The 26,362-nt window shown below is 39.9% G+C and overlaps 1 protein-coding gene and 1 pseudogene across 7 annotated transcripts in view, besides 5 other annotated features; one reads left to right on the top strand and one right to left on the bottom strand.

Moving 5' to 3' along the window:
• THADA (THADA armadillo repeat containing) overlaps positions 1 to 26,362 on the top strand; it is a 365,188-nt gene that overhangs the window by 183,550 nt on the left and 155,276 nt on the right. For all 7 annotated transcript variants that reach the window (NR_073394.2, NR_144316.2, NM_001345924.2 and 4 more), the window contains one exon: positions 14,350 to 14,518. Coding sequence is in view for 5 of the 7 variants with exons in the window: in NM_001345924.2 (NP_001332853.1) it covers positions 14,350 to 14,518 (169 nt within the window). In the remaining 2 variants the exon portion in view is untranslated. The remainder of the gene's footprint in view (positions 1 to 14,349; positions 14,519 to 26,362) is intronic.
• Positions 4,037 to 4,216: an enhancer, noted in NCBI's record as "active region_15672". NCBI's record gives its function as "activates an Ori minimal core promoter by ATAC-STARR-seq in GM12878 lymphoblastoid cells {active_cell/tissue: GM12878}" and the evidence as "EXISTENCE:reporter gene assay evidence [ECO:0000049][PMID:35858748]".
• RNU6-958P (RNA, U6 small nuclear 958, pseudogene) lies at positions 4,112 to 4,182 on the bottom strand (annotated as a pseudogene).
• Positions 10,016 to 10,205: an enhancer, noted in NCBI's record as "active region_15671". NCBI's record gives its function as "activates an Ori minimal core promoter by ATAC-STARR-seq in GM12878 lymphoblastoid cells {active_cell/tissue: GM12878}" and the evidence as "EXISTENCE:reporter gene assay evidence [ECO:0000049][PMID:35858748]".
• Positions 10,286 to 10,535: an enhancer, noted in NCBI's record as "active region_15670". NCBI's record gives its function as "activates an Ori minimal core promoter by ATAC-STARR-seq in GM12878 lymphoblastoid cells {active_cell/tissue: GM12878}" and the evidence as "EXISTENCE:reporter gene assay evidence [ECO:0000049][PMID:35858748]".
• Positions 21,047 to 21,146: a silencer, noted in NCBI's record as "silent region_11426". NCBI's record gives its function as "represses an Ori minimal core promoter by ATAC-STARR-seq in GM12878 lymphoblastoid cells {active_cell/tissue: GM12878}" and the evidence as "EXISTENCE:reporter gene assay evidence [ECO:0000049][PMID:35858748]".
• Positions 21,187 to 21,236: a silencer, noted in NCBI's record as "silent region_11425". NCBI's record gives its function as "represses an Ori minimal core promoter by ATAC-STARR-seq in GM12878 lymphoblastoid cells {active_cell/tissue: GM12878}" and the evidence as "EXISTENCE:reporter gene assay evidence [ECO:0000049][PMID:35858748]".

The following is a 26,362-nucleotide window of genomic DNA, read 5'->3' as shown; positions in this document are numbered from 1 at the left end:
TCAAAGCCATAGAAATCTGCTGATGAAATCATGAAAATGAACAGAAGTGATCCAGATTGTTTAATTTCTTTTGAAATATTATATTTATTAGATTTTAGCACCCAAAAGTTAAACAGTATTGAATTTCACACATAGCACTTTATTTTTAATCTTGGGTTGAAGATTATGCACTTGGCATGACTGAAGAGTGACTCATACATTTTGCACCGACTTTATTATTAGTAGTATTATTTTGATAGGCAAGGAAGAAAGCCGGGGAGTAAGATGATACTGAATTGAGGCTAAATTTGTTAATTGATTGAACTCAAACGGAAATAAAGAATGTCACTTAATTTTCTTCTTTTTATATTCATGTGTGTATCCCCTGTGAAGACTTTGAATGCTACTCATGTTTAAAATCCAACATAAAATATCATCTGATCATCAAAATTGGCAGTGGGAATTAGCAGTATTTTCTTCTAATTAATGTCTCAAACTGTGCCACAGCTAAAATCTCATCACCTGGACACTTTGAAAGATGTGACCAGTATTCTTTACTGACATGTTTCCCATCTTAAAACACAATCACCATGAAATTAATATACCAAGTCTTGGTCACAATCCAGGGAAAGACTTGAAGGCAATGTGATTCTTCTCATAATTAGCAGCCTAATTAAATGCTAGAGGGCTTCAGCTGTATAATAATGTACCGTGCTTCTGAACAAAGATACCACCACCATTGAAACTGTATACTTGTAACACTAGTATATTTTTAATTAGTGGCAGGGTATAGGTGTATGTAATCAGTTTTGTTTCATCTTCTAACTTTGCACAGCAGTCTCCATTGTGCATTCATTTGGAATATATTGAAAAATAATCCACTGATTTGGCTTCTGTTTGTCAGAATTTAGGGTGACTAAAACTAGTATGAGTTGACAATTACCTTTTCATGATGGAATAAGCAAATTAAAAGGCTGTTCAAAATATTAGAAAGCAGGTTTAATCTAATCAAGTTGGGGGGAGGGGAATCTTTTACCTTAATAACCACTACGAAATCATACCGCTGAATACAGCAGGTGAGTTTATTAAAGCTGGCCCAACAAATTTGACATCACTTGGTTGAATAATTGGAGCTGTCAAGTGTCCTTAAAATGAATAAAATTGAATTTCTTTTAATATGTGCTATTGTTGTTCACTTCTATGGTGGTAAAAATATCAGAGATGGGGAACACTCATTTTTGCAACTAGCACAGGCTCTGCAGTGAGACAGACTTGACTTTGAATCCTAGCTCATACATTCATTCCCTTTGTGAGCCTGGGCAAGTCAGTTAACTTCTCTGAGCCTGTCTAGAACATGTGAAAGATTCAGAACATTGTCCAAAAAAATTTTTTTGTTTTTTAATTCTTGTGTGATTGTTAGGATTTAAGTGTTTATTGATTTGATTTTTTAAAAGAGCACAAGGGAACATTAATTCTGGTTGTAAAAGTTTAAAGGAAATAGCTGGGCTTGTTTAATCTGAGGAAGAGAAGACTTGAGATGTTTTGGAGATGGAGCTGGAGGCTAAGAAAGCAAGACAGAATGTATAACAACTTTTCTAATGTATATGAAAGATTATTCTTTTAAAAACAACTTTATTGGGGTACAATTGATGTAAAATAAACTGCACATGTTTAAAGTGTACAATTTGATATTTTTATATACCCATAAAACCATCATCACTGTCATGGTAAGGAACATAGCCATCATCCTTTGTAATCCTTACCCAACCTCCCCTCCCCCACCTCCCTGGCAATGATTGTTTTATGTTCTGTCAATACAGATTAATTTGCATTTCCTAGAATTTTAAGTAAACGGACTCATACAGGATGCATTCTATTTTGTCTGGCTTTTTCACTCAGTATAATTATTTTGAGATTCAGCCATGTTGTTAGGTATATCCGTAGCTTGTTTCTTTTTATTGCCAAATGGTATTCGATTGTATGGATATACTGCAATTTGTTTGTGTACTTAGCTGTTGAACGACATTTATGTTGTATCCATCAACTAGTAACAAATAACTTGCTAGGAACAATCATGCACGAGTCTCCTTTTGGACTTAGGCTTTCATTTCTCTAGTGTAAATACACAGGAATTGAACAGGTGAGCTGCGTGGTGAGTATATATTTAACTTGTTAAGAAACTGCCAAATTGTCTTCCAGAGTGATTATACATTCCCACTAGTAGAGTATGAGAATTCTAATTGTTCCATATCCTAGCCAACACTTGGTATGCTCAGTCTTTTTAACTTTAGCCTTTCTAGTGAGTATATAGTAGTATTTCACTGGGGTTTTAATTTAAACTTTACTAACGTCTAAGGATGTTGGGCATCTTTACATGTATTTGGCATTCATATATCTTCTTTGCTGAAGTGTCTGTTTGAAGCTTTGACCCAATTTTTCTGTTAGGTTGTTTGCTTTCTTTTCTTCTCTCTCTTATTTTTTTTTTTTTTTTAAGAGATGAGATCTTGATCTGACACCCTAGCTGGAGTGCAGTGGCACAGTCACAGCTCACTGTAGCCTCAACCTCCTAGGCTCAAGCAATCCTCCTACCTCAGCCTCCTGAGTAGCTAGGACTACAAGCACATGCCACCATGCCTGGCTATTTTTTTTATTTTTTGTAGAGACAGGGTCTCATTTTGCCCAGGCTGGTCTCGAACTCCTGGCCCCAAGCAATCCTGCTGCCTCAGTCTACCAAAGTGCTGGGATTACAAGTGTAAGCCATCATGCCTGCTTTTGTTTTCCTATTATTCTGAATATATTTTGGATACAAGTCTTTTAGACATAGATTTATTTCTTTCCCTGGCATGTAGAACCAGAAAAACAAAATTAAATTGCAGCAAGAAAAAGTATAATTATACTGTATAAGGAAGTATTTTTTTTGACTGGCAGTATAAACATGGGTACTGGGATAACCAAAGGAGGATGTCAGACTTTCTCAGGGGTATTTAAAAACTGACTGGCAGTAGTCTATTTGGGATACTGTAGGCATGCTGAAATATGACTCAACTTACCTAATTGCAATTTTCATTTGAGAAAAGATACCTTGAATGAGTCTGTTGCTAATATCTCAATATCTGTTGCTCTTTTGTGTCATTTTTCCAGGCCAAAAAAAAAAAGCAATTTTTTGGAATTTTTCAAAACTTTCCTTGTACTTTATTATTTTTAAAAATTCATTCTTTCTGGTTTTAGCTTGAAGTGTTTCTGTGAAACATGAGGAGGGTCATTCAGGGGCATTAATTAGCTTCAGCAAAAACAAAATGCAGTCTCTGCAAAGTAATCAAATTAAAAGAAATACTCAAATTTCTTTCATACAGCAGTAGCACCAATCATTGTTTTAGCTGATGGCACTGGGAAGATTCATTTAACCCTCTGTAGATGCAAAATAATTAATGAGATTCTAGAGAAGAGGTTCTACATGATGAAAGGAGTTGGAGTGGTTGTAGCCCTCAGAAGAGTAAAGGGTGCTTTCATGATGGGATTCCAGTAGAGTTAATGAAGGGTTTTCCTCTGTGTAGAAAACACTGGTCATTTGTTCTCCAACTCCACAGAGGCTCAAACTAGAGAAGATTGGCTCCAACTATAGAAAGATTGAGTATGGTTAGTGTTAGACATAAAACTTTTATTATTAGCATCAATATTATGAGATTAAACAATGGAACAAGAGAGGTCATAATGATATTTTAAAATAAAAAAGATAGCTATCTGCCTGGAATGTTTAAATGTCCATGATTGAATTTTGTTTTTGAAGGGGACTTTGGAGATCATTTACTCTAATAAGCTTTTATAGATGAGGATGTGAAAGGACATTATGTAACTTGCTGTGGCCACATTGTTAGATACTCATATTTTAATTTGAGGATGTCTTAAAAGTAGCCTTGCGTAAGAGACTCGAAGGAAACCATGTAAGTGCTTCTGCTTCACAGTAGGTTTCACTTCACCAAAAAAGTCACTTAAAGCTGATGACTGTGTATTTCTTCTACACCCAAGAAAATTCTGCCAATGTGCTGACATGTATGTGTCTTTTCTTGTCATTAGTAATGTTGAAGATTTTTATTCTTGGGCAGTTCAAACTTGTCTTTAAATAAATACTATACTTTGCTCAGAGGCAACCTAATCTTCTCAGTATCGTTCCAATTTTAGTATATGTGCTGCCGAGGCAAGCACAAAATCAATACTATACTTTGAATGACTGTAAGTGATTTGACCTGAGGTGATCAGTACTGAGAGAGGATACCAGGGGACACTGCCACAGCATTTGTGGAACCTGTCGCAGTCTGCTGTGGGGTTCTTCATAAACTGTTGGTTGATGGCTGCAACTTGGTGGATGACTTGCTTCAAAGTCCTGGTGACTAATTTGCCTTCCTTAAAGATAATATTGAATAAAGCTTTAGGCTTTGTTTTGTTTAACACTAGTTAGAGCAGTAGGAAACATATTTAGACTACCAATTCCTTATGTATGAGACCTGCAAATATGCATTCCAGCCATTGAAATTAGTGGGATAAATTGCCTACAAAGGTTTCCTCATTCATTATCACAACAAAAAAATTGGCACAGGACATTTTATTTGGTTGTGGTTACATTTTATTTGGGAATCCATCATTCTTTTTATGTTCCCATAGACTATCTAGAGTGAAAACCCACATATATTTATATAATATTATATACTTTATTTTAAAGGGTTTATCTAAGTACTAAAAATGAGAGAAAATATTTTAAAGTACCTGGCATCTAGCAGGCACTCAGTAAATATTCCTACCTTCACTTCCTTTTTTCCTTCCTTCTTTTTAGCGTGGATATCAGAATCTTTTATAAATGTAACAGATTATTGTCAAAAAGGGAAGTTAATAGAATTGGTGTATGTTGAGCATTCCCTTGACTCACAGGATGTTTAGATTGTCTAAGATTTTAATATCATTTCAGAGATAATCACCTGAAAAATTAAACTGGTCAAAGAAAAATTTACTCAGCACCTATGATTTGTGCAGTCAACCTTGGACTAGAATTAGAGTACTTTGAATACCAGAATAAGAATATGTATTTAATGTGACAATAGAGAGCTATCATAGGTTCTAGAAAATTTGAAAGCTAAAAAAAAGTTTTTTAATGTCAATAAAAGCATTCCTTTCTAAACCTTCTATCTATATATAGTAGGGTTATATATAATAGGGTTTAAAAAATAAGATGGTAAATTCTCTCTATTCCTTTGTGTAGTGTCTTAAAATGACTACCCATTCCTGTGTTTGTGAACTGAAAAATCAATCACTGTAAATATGGAATCTCTTGCTCTAAAGGATAATGGTGTGAGTTTCAACTGTATTAAATCACTTTGAGAACTTGGCCTTTGAGCAGTCAACACCAAAGGAAAGCCAGCCTGTTACTGATTTCTCAGACCCATCCACTGCCTGCAAGGAAAGGCGACATGCTGAGGGGCCAAGTGTTATTATGTTCAGCCCCCTTTAAAGAGTCAGTGGCTGCCTGAACGTGCTCATTTCTTGGTTGTTTGTGTAGCCCGAGCAGAAACATTGTGAAGGGTTTTGCGATTGGGAGGAATGTGCAACTCTTTCATTCATTCTGCATATGCTGCAGCCCAGCTCCTGCCTTACATGCAGCTCATCCCAGCCCAAGAACCCCGAGGGTAGATCCGGAATGCTTTTCCAGCTGTTGCATGAGGAGAACAGTAGACCAGAGTGTGGCTCATTGGTACAGGGTCAGAGAGAAACCCCTCAGATAGGCTGGGAGGGAAGATTATGCCAAAATTTCAAACTAAGTGTAGTGGTTATTTTTACTTGCTTAGGAAAGATGATTCCCTTTTATTTTCTAGGGCTCCCAATGTCTTTGTATGTACTTTGCTATAAAGTCTTTTCCATATTTTTCCCAGAGTCAGGAAAGAATTATTGCTAAGGTATAGCACATTTCAGTGCCCCTGAGGAGAATCTTCTTCTCAGCTGTCTAAAACATTTGGTTGGAATCTGAAAAATTCAGTTTCAAATTGTATTTGTTGTTGTCTCAAAAAATGATGAAACATTTAAATGAAATTTCAAATGAAATGTAATTTTCATGCTTCATCTCTACATTTTGATCAGCAAGTGACCAGAAATTAGCGTTCAGAAATTATGCATCTTTTCATTTATTTAAGAATATTTCTAATTCTGAACAATTAAAGCATATTGTTTAGAGAGCTTTTAAAGTAACAACTGCATTGTGTACCTTCACCCCTCCCTGTTGGAAAATCTCCTTGCCTTATTTCCTGGCACTGAAAGGGATGGTATGAATCAAGTAGCCATAGCCATTGCACCTGGGACTGTGTTTCTGCCACGTCAGGTTGCTGAGTGCTGTGCCTATTTCTTGCAGGGGCAAGTGGAGGGATGTCCAGATGATGGAGGCTGATTTCTAGCTCCCAGCAGCTGACATTTCACAGCCTGGAATTAATAGCCTGTGGCCTGTCAGCCTGGGTCACTGGGAGGCAATGTGAAGGTGACCTCAAAAGCATGCTTTTCTGAGGCTTAGACTCTGTGGTTGGGCTTGTCTCAAGGGGTCACACACTACAGTTTTCAGATGTTCTGTTGTGGCTTATTGTTGGCCTTTCTTCATAATTTTTTTTAAGGGTTTAATGTGTTGCTTAGAATTAATTTGCAAAGAGCTTTGAGCTGCCCGATAGGTAACGTATGTAAACATTCTACCTGAAGTTACTTTGTGTGTCTGGAAATGTGCAGTTTTTAGCTTAGCTACTGTCTACAGCTCTTATTTTCTCCTTACTACCCAAACCAAGGATTTTTAAAAAATCAAACTTTAAAAGCTCCGAACTCATTACTCTTCCAAGAAATATATTTGAATAAAGAAATCCCTGAGCTATGCAGAGGGCAAGATTACAGTCAATGCAATTTTTATGTGCTAGTGGTTTGAATTGCAGGAAAAGGAGCAACTAGTTCGGGTGGTGGTGGTAGATCCTTTGATGAATGGAATATTGGCATAGGAAGAACAAGTAGAGAATCTGGCAACCTTGGCCATCACTGAACTCACCTGAGAATGTGGAAAAGGGCTTCAGGAATGCCACATTTATAACAAAAACATATTTAATACTTACAGGTCGTGCAGAAATATCTGCTTTTTCCAACTCACTGGATACAAACTTGGTGTGTGTGTGTGGTTTCTCTCTTTTATGCATGCACACGTACCCACACATATATGTTTTCCTGAAGGCAAGATTTGAAACTACGAACCACACAGAATTAAAAAGGAAAAAGAAATCTTAGTATAATAGCGGTAGAGTCGACAGAAAATAGACTTGGGCCCTGGACCTGGAGAATAAAGCCAATGGGCTTCACATAAACAAGTGAATAGGCCCCAGAGAAACTCAAGCCTCCTCTCCTTTCCAGCTCATTTAGAGGGGAAGGAGGAGGGTAGGCCTCTGTGAGCACTTGGAGCCTGTTTGGTACAGGCCAGGCTCTGTTTCCTCAGCCAGTTGTTGAGACAAAGAACACTAGAGAAAAACAATTTGTAAATGTGTATAAAGGTTTTATTTTCAAATTATTCCACCTGCCTGTCTTCTAGGCATTTTATTTTCATGCATTATTTCATTTAAACTTCACAACAGCCCTATGAAATGAGCACTCTTCCTTTTCCCCATTTATAGAAGGTACAAACCTAGGTTTACTGACTTATCTAAAGTCACACACTAGTAAGTGTCAGAACTCAGATGTAAACTTAGGTCTGCTGGATTCCAGAGCATGTTCTTAAGTCCCTGTCCTATGCGCTCTGTGATAAAGAACTATGAAGACCCTGTTTCTGTTCTCAATGTCATTTCAGTCTAGCAGACATGATGATGCCTGAGAGCTACTGTGGGGAAGGTAAGTGAGATGCACTGGCTGCTATGGGAGAGCTAAATATGCAATTGGAGTAGGCAGAGGGAAGGAAGTGATTGATTCTGATCACAGAAGGTACAGTAAAGTTTCACAAAAAAGGTAGTACCTTAGCAGAGGCCAGGCATGGTGGCTCATGCTTATAATCCCAGCACTCTGGGATGCCAGAGTGGGAGGAGCACTTCAGGCCAGGTGTATGAGACCCTGTCTCTACTTTAAAAAAAAAAAAAAAAAAGAAAAGAAAAAGAAAATTAGCTAGGCCTGGTGGCACCCAACCGTAATCCCAGCTATTCAGGAGGCTGAGGTGGGAGGATCACTGGAGCCCAGGAATTCAAGGCTGCAGTGAGCTATGATCAAACCACTGAACTCCAGCCTGAGTGACAGAGCGAGACCCTGTCTCTAAACAAAAATGTAATACCTTAGCATAGTTCAGAAGATGAAGAGGAGTTCCCCTCTTCATTACAAGAGTACAGGAGTAAAAGTACAAGAGTAAAAGGACATTACTCTAGTGAGAATGAACTGAAATGTGCAAAGGCACTAGTTGGCTTGCCAAAACATACATAGAAAAAAGATTTTTTGAAGGTAGTATAATCCAGAGCTTCAGCCTGCTGTGTGTCACCCAGCCTTTAGAGATGGCCTATTAAATAGGGTTGTCTCAACTTTGGGTTGTCAGTAGATGACCATTTCCCAGGAGCTGACAGCTGTGCTGTAGGACAAACAGACCATAATGGCATGGCTGGCATTCTTGAGTAACTTTAGTGAGAGGTTTTAGGGGGTGTGTTGGGGGTGTGGGGTCAGGGTCAGACATAGCTTTTTTGAACTCATACCAGCTCTGAAGATGCAAACCGCTTGGTTAAGTAGGGGCATCTAGAGCAAGTGGATGGTCCTTTTCATCATTGACAGAAGTTTGGGGCCTCTGTTTTGCATATGGTATAGCCTCACCTGAAAAATAAGAATCAGGGCTGGAGGTGGGCCAGGAAATGGGGAGGAACTGGGGGAATGTTAATTATGTTAATGAGGTAGGATGGAAGGGGATATTGGCTGGATCCTGAAGCCATTTGGAGACTTTGAAGCCTCTGGTTCCTGTGACATGCAGGGACTCGCCCAGTGCTACTGAGCCTTAAAGTTCCCTCAGTTCAAAAATACCTCCCCAACATTGCCTACAAAGTTTCTTTCAGCCACTCTGGCTTGTCAGATTTAAATGAGGTACCACATATAGAGCCTGGTCTTTAATAAGTGTTCAGGAGATGTTAGCTATTATCAGCATCATCTTCGTTGTTCTGCTTCACGGTCTACAAATTAGAGACTGATTGGTTCTCTAAGTTGTTCATACCTCAGTGTGATTAGGTTGAATGTTTGGAAACATTCGGCTTTTCCAAGGCTCTGGGGATTTTGAGGCAACTGCGTTGTAAAGTCTTAGAAAGACTGAATTTTGTAGGTAGACAGACCCTAATTAAAATGCAGGCTTTATGCTAGTTTTATGACCCAAAGTATGCTGGGACACCTCACTCTGTTCATCTTAAAATAAGGTTAATGACACTGACCTTGGAATGAAGATTAATGAAATAATTAAAATAGTGTATCAAAAGCACATAGCCAGTCCTGGCACATACTAGTGACTTAATCTCAGTTTCCTTCCTTTTGTCTGGGTGCCCTGAGGGGCAGTTTGGGTTCACACAGGGAAAGGCACAGGCCTGGGAAAGGACTTCTTTCTTGCCAAACCCAAGCGCTCTCTGCCTCTCCGCCGCCTCTCCCCACTTAGGCAGAGCTGGGCATGATCACCTAGACTAGTACTCCCACACACAGGAGTCACACTTACACAGCAGCAGCAGCTTGTGTTTACTTCTCATGGCCTGAGAATCATTGGCTGGTTCTTCTGTCTTCCACACTAGACTGTAGGTTGCTTGTGGCCTAGGCAGTGATTTTCTCTCCAGTTCTCTGGTACCTGACCAAGTGTGTGCTGTGCTAGGTACTCAGTAGATGTCCCTACGGATGTGTGTGGGCAGAGACAGTTTTGGTGATGTATAGCCACTTACCTTTGAAACCTTTCAGAAAAAAAGAACAGATTGTGAGAGTAGATATGAGAGGAGAACACTTAGAAAAAGCTTAGCCCCCACTCTGTTAAAGGTGGTAAAGTTAGCATGATCTCAGCAGAATGGTCCTTTTTTTGCTGAGAATAGTGCATTCTGAACTCTTCTTGGTTCCTCAAGTGTTAAGTCCAAGTGTGTATTTCACCCTCATTTGAAGATCCTTCATCTGTTGCAGAAAATTGTCTCAGCTCTGCCTCCCACTTCACTTTTCTGTGCCACTCTTCGGCTGTGAATGTCTGCATGGGTACCACCGATTTGTGATGAGCAGGCTGTATATCGCCTCTAAGCTGGTGGTTCCCTGTGAGCAGTGTTCTTCACTGCTGTGTCACATGCAGCAGAACACAAACCTGACAGCCACATCGTGTGGTCATTGATGTATGCAAAGGAGCAGCAGGAGGTTCTCCACCTGGGTCTGGGAAACTCCCCCCACAAGGGTTTTGGATGTGTGTCACGAACCTGAAACTGTGTGGGAAATTGTGTGCATATGTTCATAAATATATTCCTCTTGTGAGAGAGTCCATAGTTTACATTAGTTTCTGAAATATTTTCATGATCCTTAAAATTTTTTTTAAAAAAAAAAACAACAAAAAACCACTCATTTAGAAATTTTCCAAATATGTGTAAATTACAGTTTGTGTTTTTGTTAGCTAGGAGATATTTTTATGCTCCCTTGATTTCCAGGTGTGAGCTACAGGTTGGGTAGCCAGAGAGCTCTGGATCACAGTCTGCCGTGAGCATTGCTTACACTTAGCCCTCAGAGTTTTCACTGAATCCTTCTGAGCTTCATTTTATTTTTCTTCTGTTAATTTAGGTTTATAATGCCCTTTTGTCTACAGGAATGTTGCATAGTAAAGAGATCACAGGTGTGCAGGTGTTTTATCAACTGTCAAGTGCTGTACAATTGTGTGATGCAAGTATTCCTATTAAAAATGTATCATGTCTCAGCTGGGCATGGTGGCTCACGCCTATAATCCCAACACTTTGGGAGGCTGAGGCGAGTGGATCACGAGGTCAGGAGATCGAGACCATCCTGGCTAACACGGTGAAAGGCCGTCTCTACTACAAATAAAAAAAATTAGCTGGGCGTGGTGGCAGGCGCCTGTAATCCCAGCTACTCGGGAGGCTGAGGCAGGAGAATGGCGTGAACCTGAGAGGCAGAGCTTGCAGTGAGCCGAGATCACACCACTGCACTCCAGCCTGGGTGACAGAGCGAGACTCTGTCTCAAAAAAAGAAAAAGTGTCATGTCTCATGTCACACAGTATTGAGGACATGGTAGGCAGTCAATAAATAAGTGATTAAAATGAACATGGAAAGGGTTTATTGAAGTGAGAGGGCTAGAGGTTTTAAGACACTGGTGTCTGTGTACCTTGCAGATTCTGTGGAGAACCTAGTATTCAGGCCTAGAACATAGCTTAGGGCTATTAGAGGAACTGATTTTCAAGGAATGTTAAAAGTAGAAATGACCTTCGAGACCTTAAGTGTATTTGTTTTATTTTATGGAAGACACTGAGACTTAGAGAGACAGAGGCTATCCGATTTATTTCAGAAGGGCTTGAGACTCTTCCTCATCACTTTTAATAGTGGCCAAAAAAAGACCCTCTTTGCCTTCATATTATCAACATGTTGTCTTACCTTTTTAAAACAGCACAGAATTCACCACATGGTCTTAATTCTCTTTTTGGGGCTACTCACAGGCCTGTAATTCTGGAGTATACTGATGCTATTACTGGACACTGGCACAGTGCACTGTAAAAACTTGGAATTTCTGGAGCCCTTCCTTCTTGGAGTGTTCTCTTAGACATCATGTCAGACCACTAGGTGGAAAGCATTGCCACCATTCTTAACTGTACTGAGACTCAGAGAGGTTACTGTGACTTGTCCAAGTCACAGAACTCAGTGTCCAAAGCAGAATGAAAATTCAGGTGTTCTAATTTTCTATTCTCTTAACCGTTAGATTCTAAATGTTCTCATCAGACCCCCTCCCTGCCGCCAGTAGGCGACAAAACAGTAACCTAGAAATTTTTTTTCTTAGTGTATATATTTATATATATATATATATATAAATTTGTCTATGATCTAATCTTTCCACCTAAAGAATTTGCGATAGAATATTTAACCATTGCTTTATAATGAATGTTACTTAATTAAATATTACTTCAAGAATTGGCTTCTTTTTTGGTAATTGCATTACTTTTTTGAGGAGAGGTTTTGTTTTGCTTTTTAACCTGGTTGTGTGCATTTGGAAACCACCCTAACACAGGGTATCCAAAAGCAGAAAATACTGGCACTTTTCCCCCTTTCCATCCTTCCTCTTGTATGGATGCCAGAATCCTTTGGGAAATCATCATTTACAAAAGTCAGGAGCAAAAGGAGGGGCATTCTTTAGTGTACAGTCACTGCTAATTGGAAACTAAACATCTGTAACCATGTCAGAGTTATTTGTATTTGAAAAGAAACATTTATATACAAGAGCCCTTTCGGTAACATAAAACACAGTGTAACACAAAGTGTGTGTGTTGGAGAGGTCGGGGACAGACAGAAGGGGAAGCTTCCAACAAATGACTGCCTTACTAAGTGAGGTCATTTGCTAATTAAATTTCAAAACATTTTCAGAGTTGTTTTTTGTTTTTTTGTTTTTTTGTTTTTTGGTCAAATGAAGTTTCTCCCCGACCCCCACCCTTACCATTTCCTATAGGCCAAAGCAAACATTTTTCTGCATTTGCCAATTACAGATTAAACATTTAATCACTTAAAAAGAATAAGTGAGAAAATGGATGAGTTTTGGGAACTGTCCAGGATGAGTTGTGGGAACTGTCCAGCTACCTACTGTAACCATAGCTCTCTGCTTTCCCACAGATAATGTGAGGTGACCTCTTCTCCATCCTGAAACTATGTGCTGCTGGACCTACCCAATAGACGTAACTGTCTTGGGGGAAAAAGACACATTTTTTTTAAACACCCCATACTTCTTTTTCCTCTTCCCCTGCCTCCCCCAACACCATGATGAAATTCTGCTCAGGCTATTCTATTTGTACAGAAATTGTATCTGTATTTCTGTTGGCATATTAGAATAAATGTTGGTGATAACCTCTAGGGTGTTAGAAACATTGCTATTGTAGGGCCCTGTCCCTCTACTTACTGAGCCAACATGGCCATGTAGCCCTAATGGCCTAATTCTTACCAAGTAATTCCTTTGTAAACACAGATTAGTTTTGAAAACAGTCAAGAGGCCATCTCTTTTCCCCTACAGAGTCTACCGTCTTCTGACCTTCCCTATTCTTGTGATCTAAGATATTTCTGTAAGTTGAGTTACCTTTTTAATTGGATGAAAAATCATGAAGTCTTGAGCGTTCTAGTAAAGAACTTAGTTAAGCTGGTACTTAGCATATTGGACTTTCCTCTCAATCAATCTCCTATCTGTGAAGGCTTTAAAGTGCACAGTTTCAGCAAAATGGTTATGGCCTTTAAGTTTCTGATTGTTTGTGAAGTTGAGAGGCCTTTAGATGACCTGCCTTTACAATGACCTTTCTAGAATCTCAAAATAACTTGTCCAGGACTTTCACTATTTAAGAACTGGCTTTTATTCCCGCTCTTTGGGTATGAGTCAGCCCAGAGTCAAGGATTTGGTGATTTGAAGGTCCATCTCTTGTTCTCTTAACAGTAAGTTCAGACCATGTACTATGCTATTCGTAGCACTCCCCAGTATGGCCTGACCCACTTCTCAGCCTTAACTTCTACTGTTATTCATGAACCTCTGCGTTATTCAAACACATCTACCTAGACCTTGAGTATTTTTAGCCTTGCTTTATACCACTTTGCCCCTGGTTGAAATGGCTTCAGATCTTTCTTGGCCTACTTGAATCATGCTTGCTTTCCTGAGTTCCATCCTTCTTCTGAGTTTCTATAGTCATAATGTCAAGGTCACTTGCTTCTCACTTTTCCTATACTGTCTCGTACTTTTGGTCATTTTTTCAAATGTACTTTTCCTCTGGCCAACCAAAGTATGGGCTCTTCAAAGACAATGGTGACTGTCTTATTTTTTATGGCACTTATCATGGTGCTTTTGCTTATCATAAATACCCAATAAATAGTTAACAAGTAAGTTGTTTTTTGCTACTACCTGTTTATTGTCTTATTCCCAAGCCTGTCTACATTTAATCTCCATGATAAAGAATTATAGATGCTAGCAATGTTTTTAACCAAAGCAAAGTCACCTGTAGAACTAGTGCAGATACAAAACATCATTTGGGATAAGGAGCAGCTCCTGTCTCCCCCTAACCCCTGGATGTTCCAGGCCATGCTAGATAGAATGTAAGTATATACAAAGTCACAGATGTGGAGATGACTATTGAATGGTCTTGTGTTTTTATTTCTCCCCAGGTGTGGTCACTCACCTGTCTACCACTCCCGTGAAATGGCAGCTCGTGCCTTGGTCCCATTTGTTATGATAGATCACATTCCTAATACCATTCGAACTCTGTTGTCCACACTCCCCAGCTGCACTGACCAGTGTTTCCGGCAAAACCACATTCATGGGACACTTCTCCAGGTAAGTAAAGTTGCTTTGTGTGACTTCTGTCAAACACCATAAGATGAACTTTGGTTTCTTATGTACTGTTAGCTGGTGAAGATTTGATACACAGCCTCTTAACTTTATCTGTAGAACTTTTTTTTTTCTACTTCCGAAAGATCAGGTATCTCCTAGTTATACTTTTTTCATCCCAAATATCACTACAGTGTTACATTGTGATTCTCTTATATTATCTTTTGCAATACATCCTGTGTTTTCTGCAGTATACTTTCTCCCACTTGGCCTCACCTCTCTGAACCAGATAAAACTTTGTCTTTTCCATCAAGTATGCCTGCAAAACATTCTGGGCTACTACCTATTCCGAGTGAAACTGAAAGCATTCCTTGAGAGAGGTTAGCCTGAGAGGCACAGGAAGAGCTGTACACATCAGGGAGAGTTTGCCCTGTGGCACAGCACCTTAGTACGTGGAAGTATTGAACCTTTCCTGTTTTCTCTGTGCTACCAAAAAAAACTTATTACTTTGAATAAATGTACAAGTTTATTGTTTTTAACCTAACATTTCTTCTAGAAAAGAATAACATACAAAAAATAAATGAGAAAGAGACTTTTTACTGAAACTGCCCTATTTCAACCCTAACTTGAGGACAGGTAGTATTGGTGAGGTCTCCTGTTCAAATGGCTGCTATAGTGCTCATATAGGCATGCGGTTAGGGGTGGAAAATAAATGTCAGGTCATGTTCCTGGTTTATGAACAGAGTTGAGAGATGGCCTTGAGATCTCAATACATGTTATAAGCCTGAGATCGACACTGCTGACATGGCAGGCAGTGTGTGGAGTGATTAACAAGGTGAAACTCTGGAGCCAGACTGCCTGGGTGTGAATCTCAGATCTACCCCGCATTACTTATACATCCATGTCTTCATTTTTGAAATAAGGATAATAGTAGCATATACCTCATAGGGACTTTGTGAACCCTAAGGAAATTAATACATACAACATGCTTAGAATAGTGCCGGGTACACCACAAGATATATAGACAGTCATTATTGTTATTATTATCATTAATTTTAATAAACCTATACTATAATGAAAACTAATTATTTCATAACTAATTCCCCCTAGGTAATAAGAATGCAAGATAGAACTATCTTTTTCTTTTTTCTTTCTTCTTTTTTTTTGAGACAGGGTCTTACACTGTTTCCCAGGCAGGAGTGCAGTGGTGCAGTCTCGGCTCACTGCAAACTCCGCCTCCTGCGTTCAAGCCATTCTCGTGCCTCAGCCTCCCGAGAAGCTGGGATTACAAGCAGCCTGCACCCCCCTGTCCCCACAGTCACTAATTTTTGTATTTTTAGTAGAGATGGGGTTTCATCATGTTGGCCAAGCTGGTCTCGAACTCCTGACCTCAAGTGATCCGCCCACCTCAGCCTCCCAAAGTGCTGGGATTATGGACATGAGTCACTGTGCCTGGCCGTTCCTTGGTTGTTTTCTATATTCAACAAATGCCTACTACATTTCACTGTGTCACAGTCGCAATAGCAGCTAAGTCAGTTTTTGCCTTGAAGGAGCCAAGGACAAAAAAGGACCAGAAAATAGGCAGTCATGATGTAGTGTGCTAAGTGCTGGCTGAACACATAGCAGGGCCACCAGACTTGTCTAGGAAATCGGGGAAAATGTCCCAGAGGAAGTGACCTCTAAGCAGAGACTGAAGAAGTTAGCCAAGTAAAGAAAGGGAAGGAGTCTCCCATGCAAAGAGAGCAACATAAAGGCTCCCAGTGGGTAGCCCCCAAGTGGGAACTGCTGGTTTGGGTGGGACTGAAGTTCTAGGTTGGCAGTTTTCAAATTTGTCTCAGGACCTCTTTACACTCTTAAAAGGGGTTGCGGCTCCCAGAGAGTTTTGTCTATCAATATTCAGTTAGAAAGTAAACTTGAGACAGGCTGGTGTGGGGGCTCATGCCTATAATCCCAGCACTTTGGGAGGCTGAGCTGGACAGATCACTTGAGGCCAGGAGTTCAAGACCAGCCTGGCCAACATGGCGAAACTCCATCTCCACTAAAATTACATAAATTAACTGTGTGTGGTGGTGCACGCCTGTAGTCCCAGCTACTCAACTTGGAAGGCTGAGGCACGAGAATTGCTTGAACCCCAGAGGCAGAGGTTGCAGTGAGCCAAGATCATGCCACTGCCCTCCAGCCTGGGCAGCAGAGTGAGACTCTGTCTCAAAAAAGAAAAAAGTAAACTTGAGAAAATATTAAAACACGAGGACTTCCAAGCACATATTGCATTAGTTATCAATATAATGATATCATCACACACCTTGTAGCCTCTGGCAAACTCCACTGTACACTCATGAGAGAATGAGAGTAAAAGAGGAAACTATTTTCTTGGCATCACTTGAAAATAATTTGTCTTGTGGACCTCTTGAAAAGATTGCACAGCCCCAGACTGCAGTTTCAGATAATCTAGTCTGTGTTACATACATTATGGGTCTTAGGTGGTTTCTTTAATATAAACTCTTGAGCACTCATCTCCCTTGAGTTTCCACTACATCCCTGTGATTAGGAGAGGGACAGGGGTTATTGTCTTGGTCTTAAAGATGGACCATTGTGGCTCAAAAATTATCATTTGCTCTGCCTCAAAATTTACATCTCTTGATTGTGTCAGACTCTGCTGCTTCTTCAAAAGAGCAGGGCTGGAATGATGAGGAATATAGAACAGCCTTTTCAAAGTGTGAACTGTATCTGAGTTAGAAGGAAGGCCTAGCTTGTCAAGGGGATCAGCCATCAGATTTTCTTTACTGAAGATCCACTCTTGGCTGAACTTTATCCAAGTAGTTTGGTTGGAGTTGCTTCTTGGGCTCTCTCACCAGTTGTGCAAATGAGCCTCCCAGCCTTGTTTCCCACACGTGCTACTGGCAGGTCTGGCTGGGTTTCACCAGTCTGCCCAGCAACAAAACATGGTCTTTTGCTCTGTGTCTGGGCTACTTTTGATAGTCTCAAGTTTACTTCTTCTGCTAGATAAAATGTGAAATCCTGTGGAAAGGTTAAAACCCTAGAACCCTGGGGTTGTTGTGGCTGTTGCTCTTGTTCCTAAGTGTTGGTGGGATGAAGGGCTTGTTGAATAAAAGCCAGCAAATGTGGTTGTTGGGTATCATATTCATGTTTGTCAGACAGATTCCTACCTTTATCAAGGTTGGTTTACCCTGGTTGAGAAAAAGAAGTCAAAGGGATGTGGAAAGTCTTTCTGGCATGTCCATTTGGGTGTCACACCTGTGTTGTCCTAGTTCTGTCCATCCTGTGGTTCTTTATGGGGAAAGCATAAAGGGTTAAGTTGGGAAGGGCTCTTTCTTTTTCCTTTCTACAGCTTATAGATTCCTCTCCACATAAAGCTACCTTTGAAATCATTAAAAAGCCTGCACCTGGAAAAGAGGTGTTAGGGATTGAAAGGAATGGTCATCTCCATGGGACCTCCAGAGCCAGCTAAATAAATATAAAGTTGTTATTTTTTTCAAAAGCAGGAAATCATTTCATAATCAGAAAACAAATTCTTTCACAGAACATTTTCTTGAATTATACATTTTGACTGCTTTGAAAATGTTTACATAAATATATCAAATCTCAGAGTATTTCTATAGTATACCTTGAAAACAAGAAATATGCTGATCTCTGAATTTTCTGGGACTATGGAAGAAAGACTCAAATTATAGCACATGCAAAAAAGAACATGTGGGATTCATTTCTTAATCGTTTTAAAAACCAGAGGTTCATAATTGCTGTGTTGAGATGGTTATAAGTAACACACATTAGAAAAGGTGAGGTTATGCGGCAGATTCATGAGAGCCAGGGGTAAATGACATTAAATCTCAATAAAGGCTAGATAAGAGCCATGGACATTACCTCATTTGGGAACATCACTAGCAGGGCTGCTCTGTCTTTTAAGTAGATTTAACCTTCTGTTTTTGTTGCCAGAACTCTTCATGTTGGGGACTTAACATTATTACTAGGTTACTTATCACTCTCAAGAAATCATATTGGAGTTCAGAAAATCTTATATTGAGGAGGAGCTTGGCCACCAATCATGAGGAAGGGTTTATTCTGATTCTTGGGTACTTAACTCACATTTTGGGTGATTCATAAGAAAATGTATACCATTTGAAATAAGAGTTTGAATTTTCAGTTTTTTCATTTCTTGTCTATTTTGGGTCTTTTGTTGTTGTTGTTGTTGTTATGTACAAATAAAAGGTGATCTGTTGCTCTTAATTTAGCTCTTTTTTTTTTTTTTTTAAGACGGAGTCTCGCTCTGTTGCCTAGGCTGGAATGCAGTGGCACCATCTTGGCTCACTGCAACCTCTGCCTTCTGGGTTTAAGCAATTCTCCTGCCTTAGCCTCCCGAGTAGCTTGGATTACAGGCGCCTGCCACCACGGCTGGCCAATTTTTGTATTTTTAGTAGAGACTGGGTTTCACCATGTTGGCCAGACTGGTCTTGAACTCCTGACTTCAAGTGATCCCCCCAACCTCGGCCTCCCAAAGTGTTGGGATTACGGGCGTGAGCCACCGCACCCGGCTGAGATAACATATTAAACTCTAAAGCCTGTGTTCCTATTTTCTTTAGAATGTGCTGCCTCTGATGTGAATAACAGCTTTTTATGGCTAAGGAAAATAAACCAAGGATCCATCTAAAGATATACTTTATCACTCAGTTGCTCTCCTTAAATCTAATTGGGTATGTTATGATACAGTGGAAACAAAGTAAATCTATTTGTGTTATTGAGACAGAAGAAGTCAGTGAAACCCAGGGAAGCTGCGACCCGTGAAAGGTATATTGTACCCTCCCCTCTCTACTCATCTCTCTGTCATCATTTCTCTTTGGTCTTCCATTTAATGCTACTAAATCTGTATCTGGAAATACAGATCCTCCCTTGGGACCTAGGCTATAGCCAAGTCCATAGTTGCCCCACCTTCTGTCATCCTTAAGGGTTTGACAAAACCTCTCAAACTTGGGTAACCATAGGAGTTATGGATCCTAGATCTAGGAACTGATAGGACCATGAGAAGGTGGTCAAGACTGAATTTAATTCAGCAGACACTGTAGCTTGCTTACCCTGTCCTAGGCACTGGTGAAAACACAAGGAGTTTGCCTTTGATGCAAACTTAAAGAGAGCTGTGGATTAGAAGCCAAGTGAGCCCTCGGGGACCAGGGATCATATGAGTAACAGAAATGAAGAGGAGACAGAAGATACAATGCCAGACAGGGCATCAGGCATAAAAGGAGACTGAAACTGAGGCCATTTCTGCTTGAGTCTGGAGCACCCCAATAGATTCTGTGTTTACTGTAGAGCCAGAATCTTTACGTGATGGGAACAGTAGTGTTGGGCTGGATGGGACACATGAAGACCGAAACTGGAGTAGACTTTAGCATTACCTTTACGGGAAGAAAACCAGAAAACAAAGAAAGAAGTAAAGGTAGGCTAGTTCGGCCAGCTAGTTGTATGAAGGAATCACTGTGCAAGAAGCAGGGATGGAACCAACCATCCTTCACTCTATTCTACAGACAGGAGCAGTGGAAGCAAGTAGAAAATCAGTGATAGAGGTAACCTTAAGTGTCAACTCTACTGGAGTTTCTTAAATAAGGAAGCAAATGAACATTTATAGAAAAGATATGTATATATATTTCTGTTAATATTACTGTTACATCAAAACTTGTGATTAAATATAAAAGAATTATTTCCATCTTTTAAAAATGTAACCATATGAGTCAATGTCTTAGTGCTTTAAGAATTTTAATGTCATTTATATTTCTTAAAACTACAAAATTGTGAAACATAAAACGGTCCAGCTGTCCAGAAATGGAACATTTCTTGATAGATTCCATTTGGCGACCTAAGATGTTGGCCGTCTCCATTGTTGTTTGTTTTATGCCTCGAAAATATTATTTCAGAATGGAAAATCAAAAACAAAAGCATGAAACTATGCTGATGCTGTAAGTTATAAATGGATTTCTGGTCTGTGTGCTTTTTTTCTGGAATGAGTCATAATTTAAAGAAAATGCTCACTCTTGTCAGGTGGCCAGATTTATTCTTTCTTTTTGAAGACTTGTGTTAGTGTGAAAGGAGAAAAATCTTAAGTTGCTAGAAAGGTCCCTAGTCCAAGAAGGGTTAAGGCAGAGTTTCTCCAGTGGCGTGGCTATGGATGTGCCAAGGTATTTATTGATTCCTTCAGCTCTCAGGGAGTCTTGAGTGTGGCCTGGCAGGGCTGGAGCCTCTAGGCAGTCACCTGCAGCTGGGAGCAGCATCGTTGGTTTTATCCCAGAGTGCCAAAGAAAGATTACTTTCTATGTGTGCCTTGATGTGAAAAGGATTGGGAAGCATTGGGCTCTTAAAAAAAAAACTAAAGAAAGGACTAAACCTTGTTAAATCTTACCTTTTGGCAATATATTCCTTTCTGGATATAAGCCCAAAAAAGTCATTTTTAATTAAAATGCTACTTTTGAAGATGAATTAATCCCTTCCTTATAAACATCCAAAAGCTTTTATTTGGTGTCTGTTACTTAGGGAGCTTTTGCTGGGTGTTGGAGACAGCTTTTAGCTGCCAGGTTCTGGAGCATTGACTGTACTGCACTGTGTGGTTGTTCCCCAAGCAATGTACTGCTGTTTTGAAGTGCTCAGAACTCAGAGTATCAGTCAGGGGCAAGTGAAACTTAGAGATTTGCCATTTGATGTGTCCTCAGGTGTTTGTAACTGTTCAGGATCAGAGTAGGGGAATTAATAGCAAAAAGAGGAAAAATATATATTTTTTTCAGTGAGAGATAGAGTGTGTGTGTATGTGATGTATGTGTGTGAGTGTGATGTACCAGTCACTGAGTTCCTACAGAGCCTCTTCTGGAGGATAGGTGTTATTCCCATCCTACTGGTGAGAAAACTGAAAACAAGAGGGGTTGTGCGATTTCACTAAAGTTATGCAAGATTAAATGGTAAAAAGCAAAACTGAGATTCAAGCCCAGGATCGTTTGAAGCTTTTGAGCTTGTGCAGTTAGCCACTGTAGTATACTGCTTCTCTGGATGAGGAAAAGGAATATTGTCAGGGGAGAAGGATTCTATCTGGGGCCTTCGGGTTGTGGGTAAAATGGGATTTGATGTCATCTATTTATTCATTCGACAACTGCTAATTGAACACCAGCTACGTGCCAGGCACTGTTCTGGGTGCTTGGACTATATCAGAGAACAGAAGAGACACATCCTTGCCCTCCAAGATTACTGCTCTCAGTGTACTTATATTCCAGCAGCAGGGAGACAGTAAGAAATGTTCAAGAAATAAACATTCAATAAAACATATCAGAACTTATTATAGTAAATATAATAGGTAAATTAGATAGTTTGTTAGAAGGTAATCGTTGCTGCGGACAAAGGAACAAGTAGAGTAGGCTAAGGGGAATCAGGAATAGATAGGAGAGGAGGGCAGTTGGCATGTCAGAATAGTCGTCATTGGAAACGTTTGAGCAAAATTCTATCACAAGACATGGGAAAACTTTCTTATTTTTTGAATAAAGGTAAAGGGTAGACATATTTTCTTCTGAAACTGTGCTGGCTGCAGACATTTGTAAGCAGGTATACCAACTGCATGTTTGAGACTATCTTTACCCATAGGAAAGTGCCAACAGAGTGGGCAGTAGTGGATAAACAAGGCCAGGAAGGATGCCATTACTTTAGAAACTTAAGAGCTCCCTAAAGCGAGGTGGTCATACTATAGATGCCAGGACTGCTGGGGACTCTGAAACCCTTTTCTTCTGGAATCACCGTGAATACCGTCAGTCTGTCATGGTTCTGATGAGCTTAGGCAAAGAGCAAAGTATCCATCATATTACTTCCTCTGCTTTCTGGTATGACCTTTACCTTAACCCTCTGGACCTGGGCCTTAGAGATGTAGAGTAAATGTGGAGAATGTTTATTCTTCTGCTTAGCAAATATTTATTGAGAAGTTAAGTACATACTATGTCAGGTACTGTGGAGGATACAAAGAAAATTTATAGCATATTCTCTGCTCTCAAGAAGCTTATGAGCTACCTGGAAAATAAACCATTGACACTGCAGACAATTACACAGAAATACGTGGCTACATGTTATGTGCACCAAGCATGTGGCCGAGATCACACATCTGAGAGGCAAGACCAGGATGGACTGGAGACATGAGAGAAGGCTTCAGGGGAACATTGGGCCTTGGGATAAACCTTGAAACTAGCTTTCTGTTTTTGAGGCAAGGGACATGGTATGAGCCCAGGCATGGAGGAGGGCATCAGAAAGTGTTTGCAGGAGGCAGTGAGTAAACCAGCCTGTTGTGTCAAGGAGAGAGGATGTGTGAATGGCAGGGTGGGTGCAGGTCAGCATGTGAGAGACCACAAATGCCGGGCCAAGCAGTTTGGGCTCTGTAGGCCTGTAGCCTTCAAAGTGGGGTTTGCAAGACAATAATATATGTGGAAGAATACGTTAGTGTGTTATTTCTTTTATCGCATCCTGTTTTATTATTATTATGGTTATTGTTAGAGACTAGGGTATCGCTATGGTGCATAGGCTGGCCTTGAGCTCCTAGGCTCAAGTGGTCCCCCTGCCTCAGCCTCCAGAGTAGATGGGACTACAGGTGTACCTGGCTTTTAGCTATTATTTTACATTTGATATGTAATGTACATAATGTATTAATAGAATAATATATAATTTCTAAGTTAATAAGTACACAAAAGCTGGGAGCATGTGCTCAGAAAGGTCCTTTCAGGTAGTAGGTAAGAGTGGACTCTGGAGCCAGCTTGTCTCCCTCTGGATCCTAGCTCTGCTGCTTACTAGCTGTGTTATTTTGGGTGAGTTACTTAATTTCTGTGCCTCCACTTCTTCTGTAAATGGGAAAATAAAATGACCTCATAGGGTGGCTGCGAAGATTAAATGAGTTAATATGCGGGAAGTGGGTAGCAAGGTCTCTGGTATATAGTAAATGCTCAGTAAATGTTAGTTGCTATTATTAATACTTGCTGCTACTGCCACCACCACTGCTACGGGCGGGGGGTGAGGGGGTTATGATTAAAAATGTAAGAATCACTGGTGTAGATGGTGAGTAAAAGACCTTGAGCTAAAGAAAAATGTGTTTAAAAAAATTAATGTTGTACATTGAAATAATACTGTAAAACATGAGGATTCCTATTGATGTGTGAGTGCATGAGACAAATAAGTCCATTTTCAGCAATTTTGACTTTATGTGTTATCATATTTCACAGAGAGGTTCCTCCGGTCAGTCACTGTGTTCTCTGCCTTCCTGTAGATCATGTTAAAGATTATAAGAGCTGAGATTAGCTCAAATTTTTAAGGGCAGAGTTCTTGCCTATCAGGTTGTTATTCCTTGCACCTGTTTTGTTTTGAATTACATCCTCTCCCTCAGATCCCACTGGAAACTTGAGGAATCAGTGTCTCACACTGTCTGAGACAAAGGACTCTTTTATCATGGGAAGGGAGAAATTTGAAGTTCATAAAGTGAAAGGAGATACAGGATCCTCCTAGATAGATTAATCTAGCACATTCCAAGTTTTTTTTTCATCTTGGAAGATATGCTTTCCATCCCCTGCGAGCCATTCCACTCTTACTGTCTGAGACTTCATATGACTGACGATAATTCTGAATATACTTTAAAAATTATGCAACACAACAAAACATCTCACCGTGGGTACACTGTCAGGCTTTTGTCATTTCCTAGAATCCCTGTAAAATATCTGATGGTATGTGGTCCCATAATGTGAAGGGATTTGTTTGGTGGTTCCCAACCAATAAAAATAGTATTATTTGTTGTTATTTGTTTTTAGTATATGCAAATGGAATAGGCCAAAAGTAAGACCTTTGTTTTTATTGGGATAGCATATTTGAGATTGCACGTTTATGTACTTGTGCTATAGCTCTTAGATATATTTATGGCACCCAACGTATTTGAGTTACTAAGGACACAGCTGACCATTTAAAAGCACTGTGGTTGAGTATAGCCAATTTGGCAGCCACCCCAGATGCCTGAAGTAAAATTGACACACAGGCTTAAAGGAAAGTTTAAATAAGTAATAAAACTCTTTTCCTATTTTAGACCATATTGTTGTTCATGACATTCTTGCATTTCTCTGTATTGCTACCCACTTCACCCTTTGCTTTTGTGGCAGGGCTTCTCAGCCTCGGCACTCTTGACATTCTTTGTTGTGGGTGTGTGCGTTGTGCAATGTGGTGTGTTTGGTAGCACCCCTCCTTCATTTGTGACAACAACAACCAAAAATGTCTCTAGACATTTCCCTATGTCCCCTAGGGAGGCAGGGGGCGGAGGCGGGGGCAAAATTGCCCCTAGTTGAGAACCTTTGTTCCATGGTACCTATGGATTTTCCCCATCATCCTGTGGGACAAGGTGTGATACAGCTCTTAAATACCAGCAACCACCAAAGAAACCATTCCTGACCCGGGCAGAAGTTGTGGCTCAGCATACTACAGTGAGCTGTGCATAGGCATTAATGAAAAGGTAGGGGGATACAAAACTCAGACTGGAGTCACTAAGGAGGCACTTTCCTTCCTCTCTTTCTGTCTTTCTACTGGAAAAGTGTTATGAACATATAAGCCAGCTCACTTTTAAAATCCTAGCTTCTTATAGCTTGCTTCATGTCCTTGTTCCAACCTGCCTCTCATCCACTTTCATAATGTATAGTTGAAACTGAATTCTGCCCTCCTCAGAGTCAGAGAGCATAACATTCTAGTTTCTGTTTACCTAAGGAAGCTTCGGAAAATGACACATAATTAAAATTTTCTCACTTCTTTACTTGAAACACTGATGAATTGCTAGGTACAGTTGCTGTCTGTTTCATTGATCCTCTCTTGGGTGGGGGACAAGAGGCTGTGTGAATGAATCTTCTCTAAAAACAGAGGTTCTACTGAAAACTTAACCCAGAACATAAAAATGTTTTCTTTGAGTTAAGCATAAAGCTTTGTCCATATTCCCAGATTCAGACCTCAGAAAGGAAACTCGTGGATAAATCTAACGGGTACTGAACATACATGACGGAGATAGTAATTATGCTTTTTTTTTTTTTTTTTGAGAGGAAATCTCACTCTGTAGCCCAGGCGAGAGTGCAGTGGCATGCTCTCGGCTCACTGCAACCTCTGCCTCCCGGGTTCAAGCAAATTCTCCTGCCTCAGCCTCCCGAGTAGCTGGAATTACAGGCACGCGCCACTGGCACCTGGCTAATTTTTTGTATGTTTTAGTAGAGATGGGGTTTCACCATGTTGGCCAGGCTGGTCTTGAACCCCCAACCTCAGGTAATCTACCCGTCTCAGCCTCCTAAAGTGCTAGGATTACAGGCGTGAGCCACTGTGCCCAGCCCGTAATTATGTTAATATTATTTTTTAAAGGACCTTAAATATTATACATGCCTCATATATGTAAATGTCTAGAAAGTCAGTAGTAAATCTGTCACTTGACTCTCAAAGTAGTATGATGCATACAAATAAGACCTTTAAAAGCATATCCTTATTATTGCTTTTAGAAATTGTCAAATAATTCTTATACATGTTTTTCTTTGTCTATTTGGGGAAAAAAAGGAAAACTACATCTATTATATTAAAATGAAGGCTCTCTGTTTTGGACAAAGGCATATGTTTGAAAAAAAAAACATAAGTTAAATCTTACTTGAATTTCTCTTGTTACTGTCAATAGCATGCATATTTTGTGCCTTTTCTACATCAAGTGAATGGGATTATTAATTGAGGTATGAATTTGTACTTGCAAATGTTCACCTTTTTGGCCAATTGTTGCCTTCCTGCTTCATCCTCCACTTTTTTTTTCCTTATTAATTAGTGGGTTGTGTG

The sequence above is a fragment of the Homo sapiens genome, chromosome 2 (genome assembly GCF_000001405.40).
Source record: "Homo sapiens chromosome 2, GRCh38.p14 Primary Assembly".
In the NCBI taxonomy this organism is placed as follows: domain Eukaryota; kingdom Metazoa; phylum Chordata; class Mammalia; order Primates; family Hominidae; genus Homo; species Homo sapiens.
The sequence above is the reverse complement of the archived record's forward strand: the minus strand, read 5'-3'. Positions and strand labels throughout refer to the sequence as shown.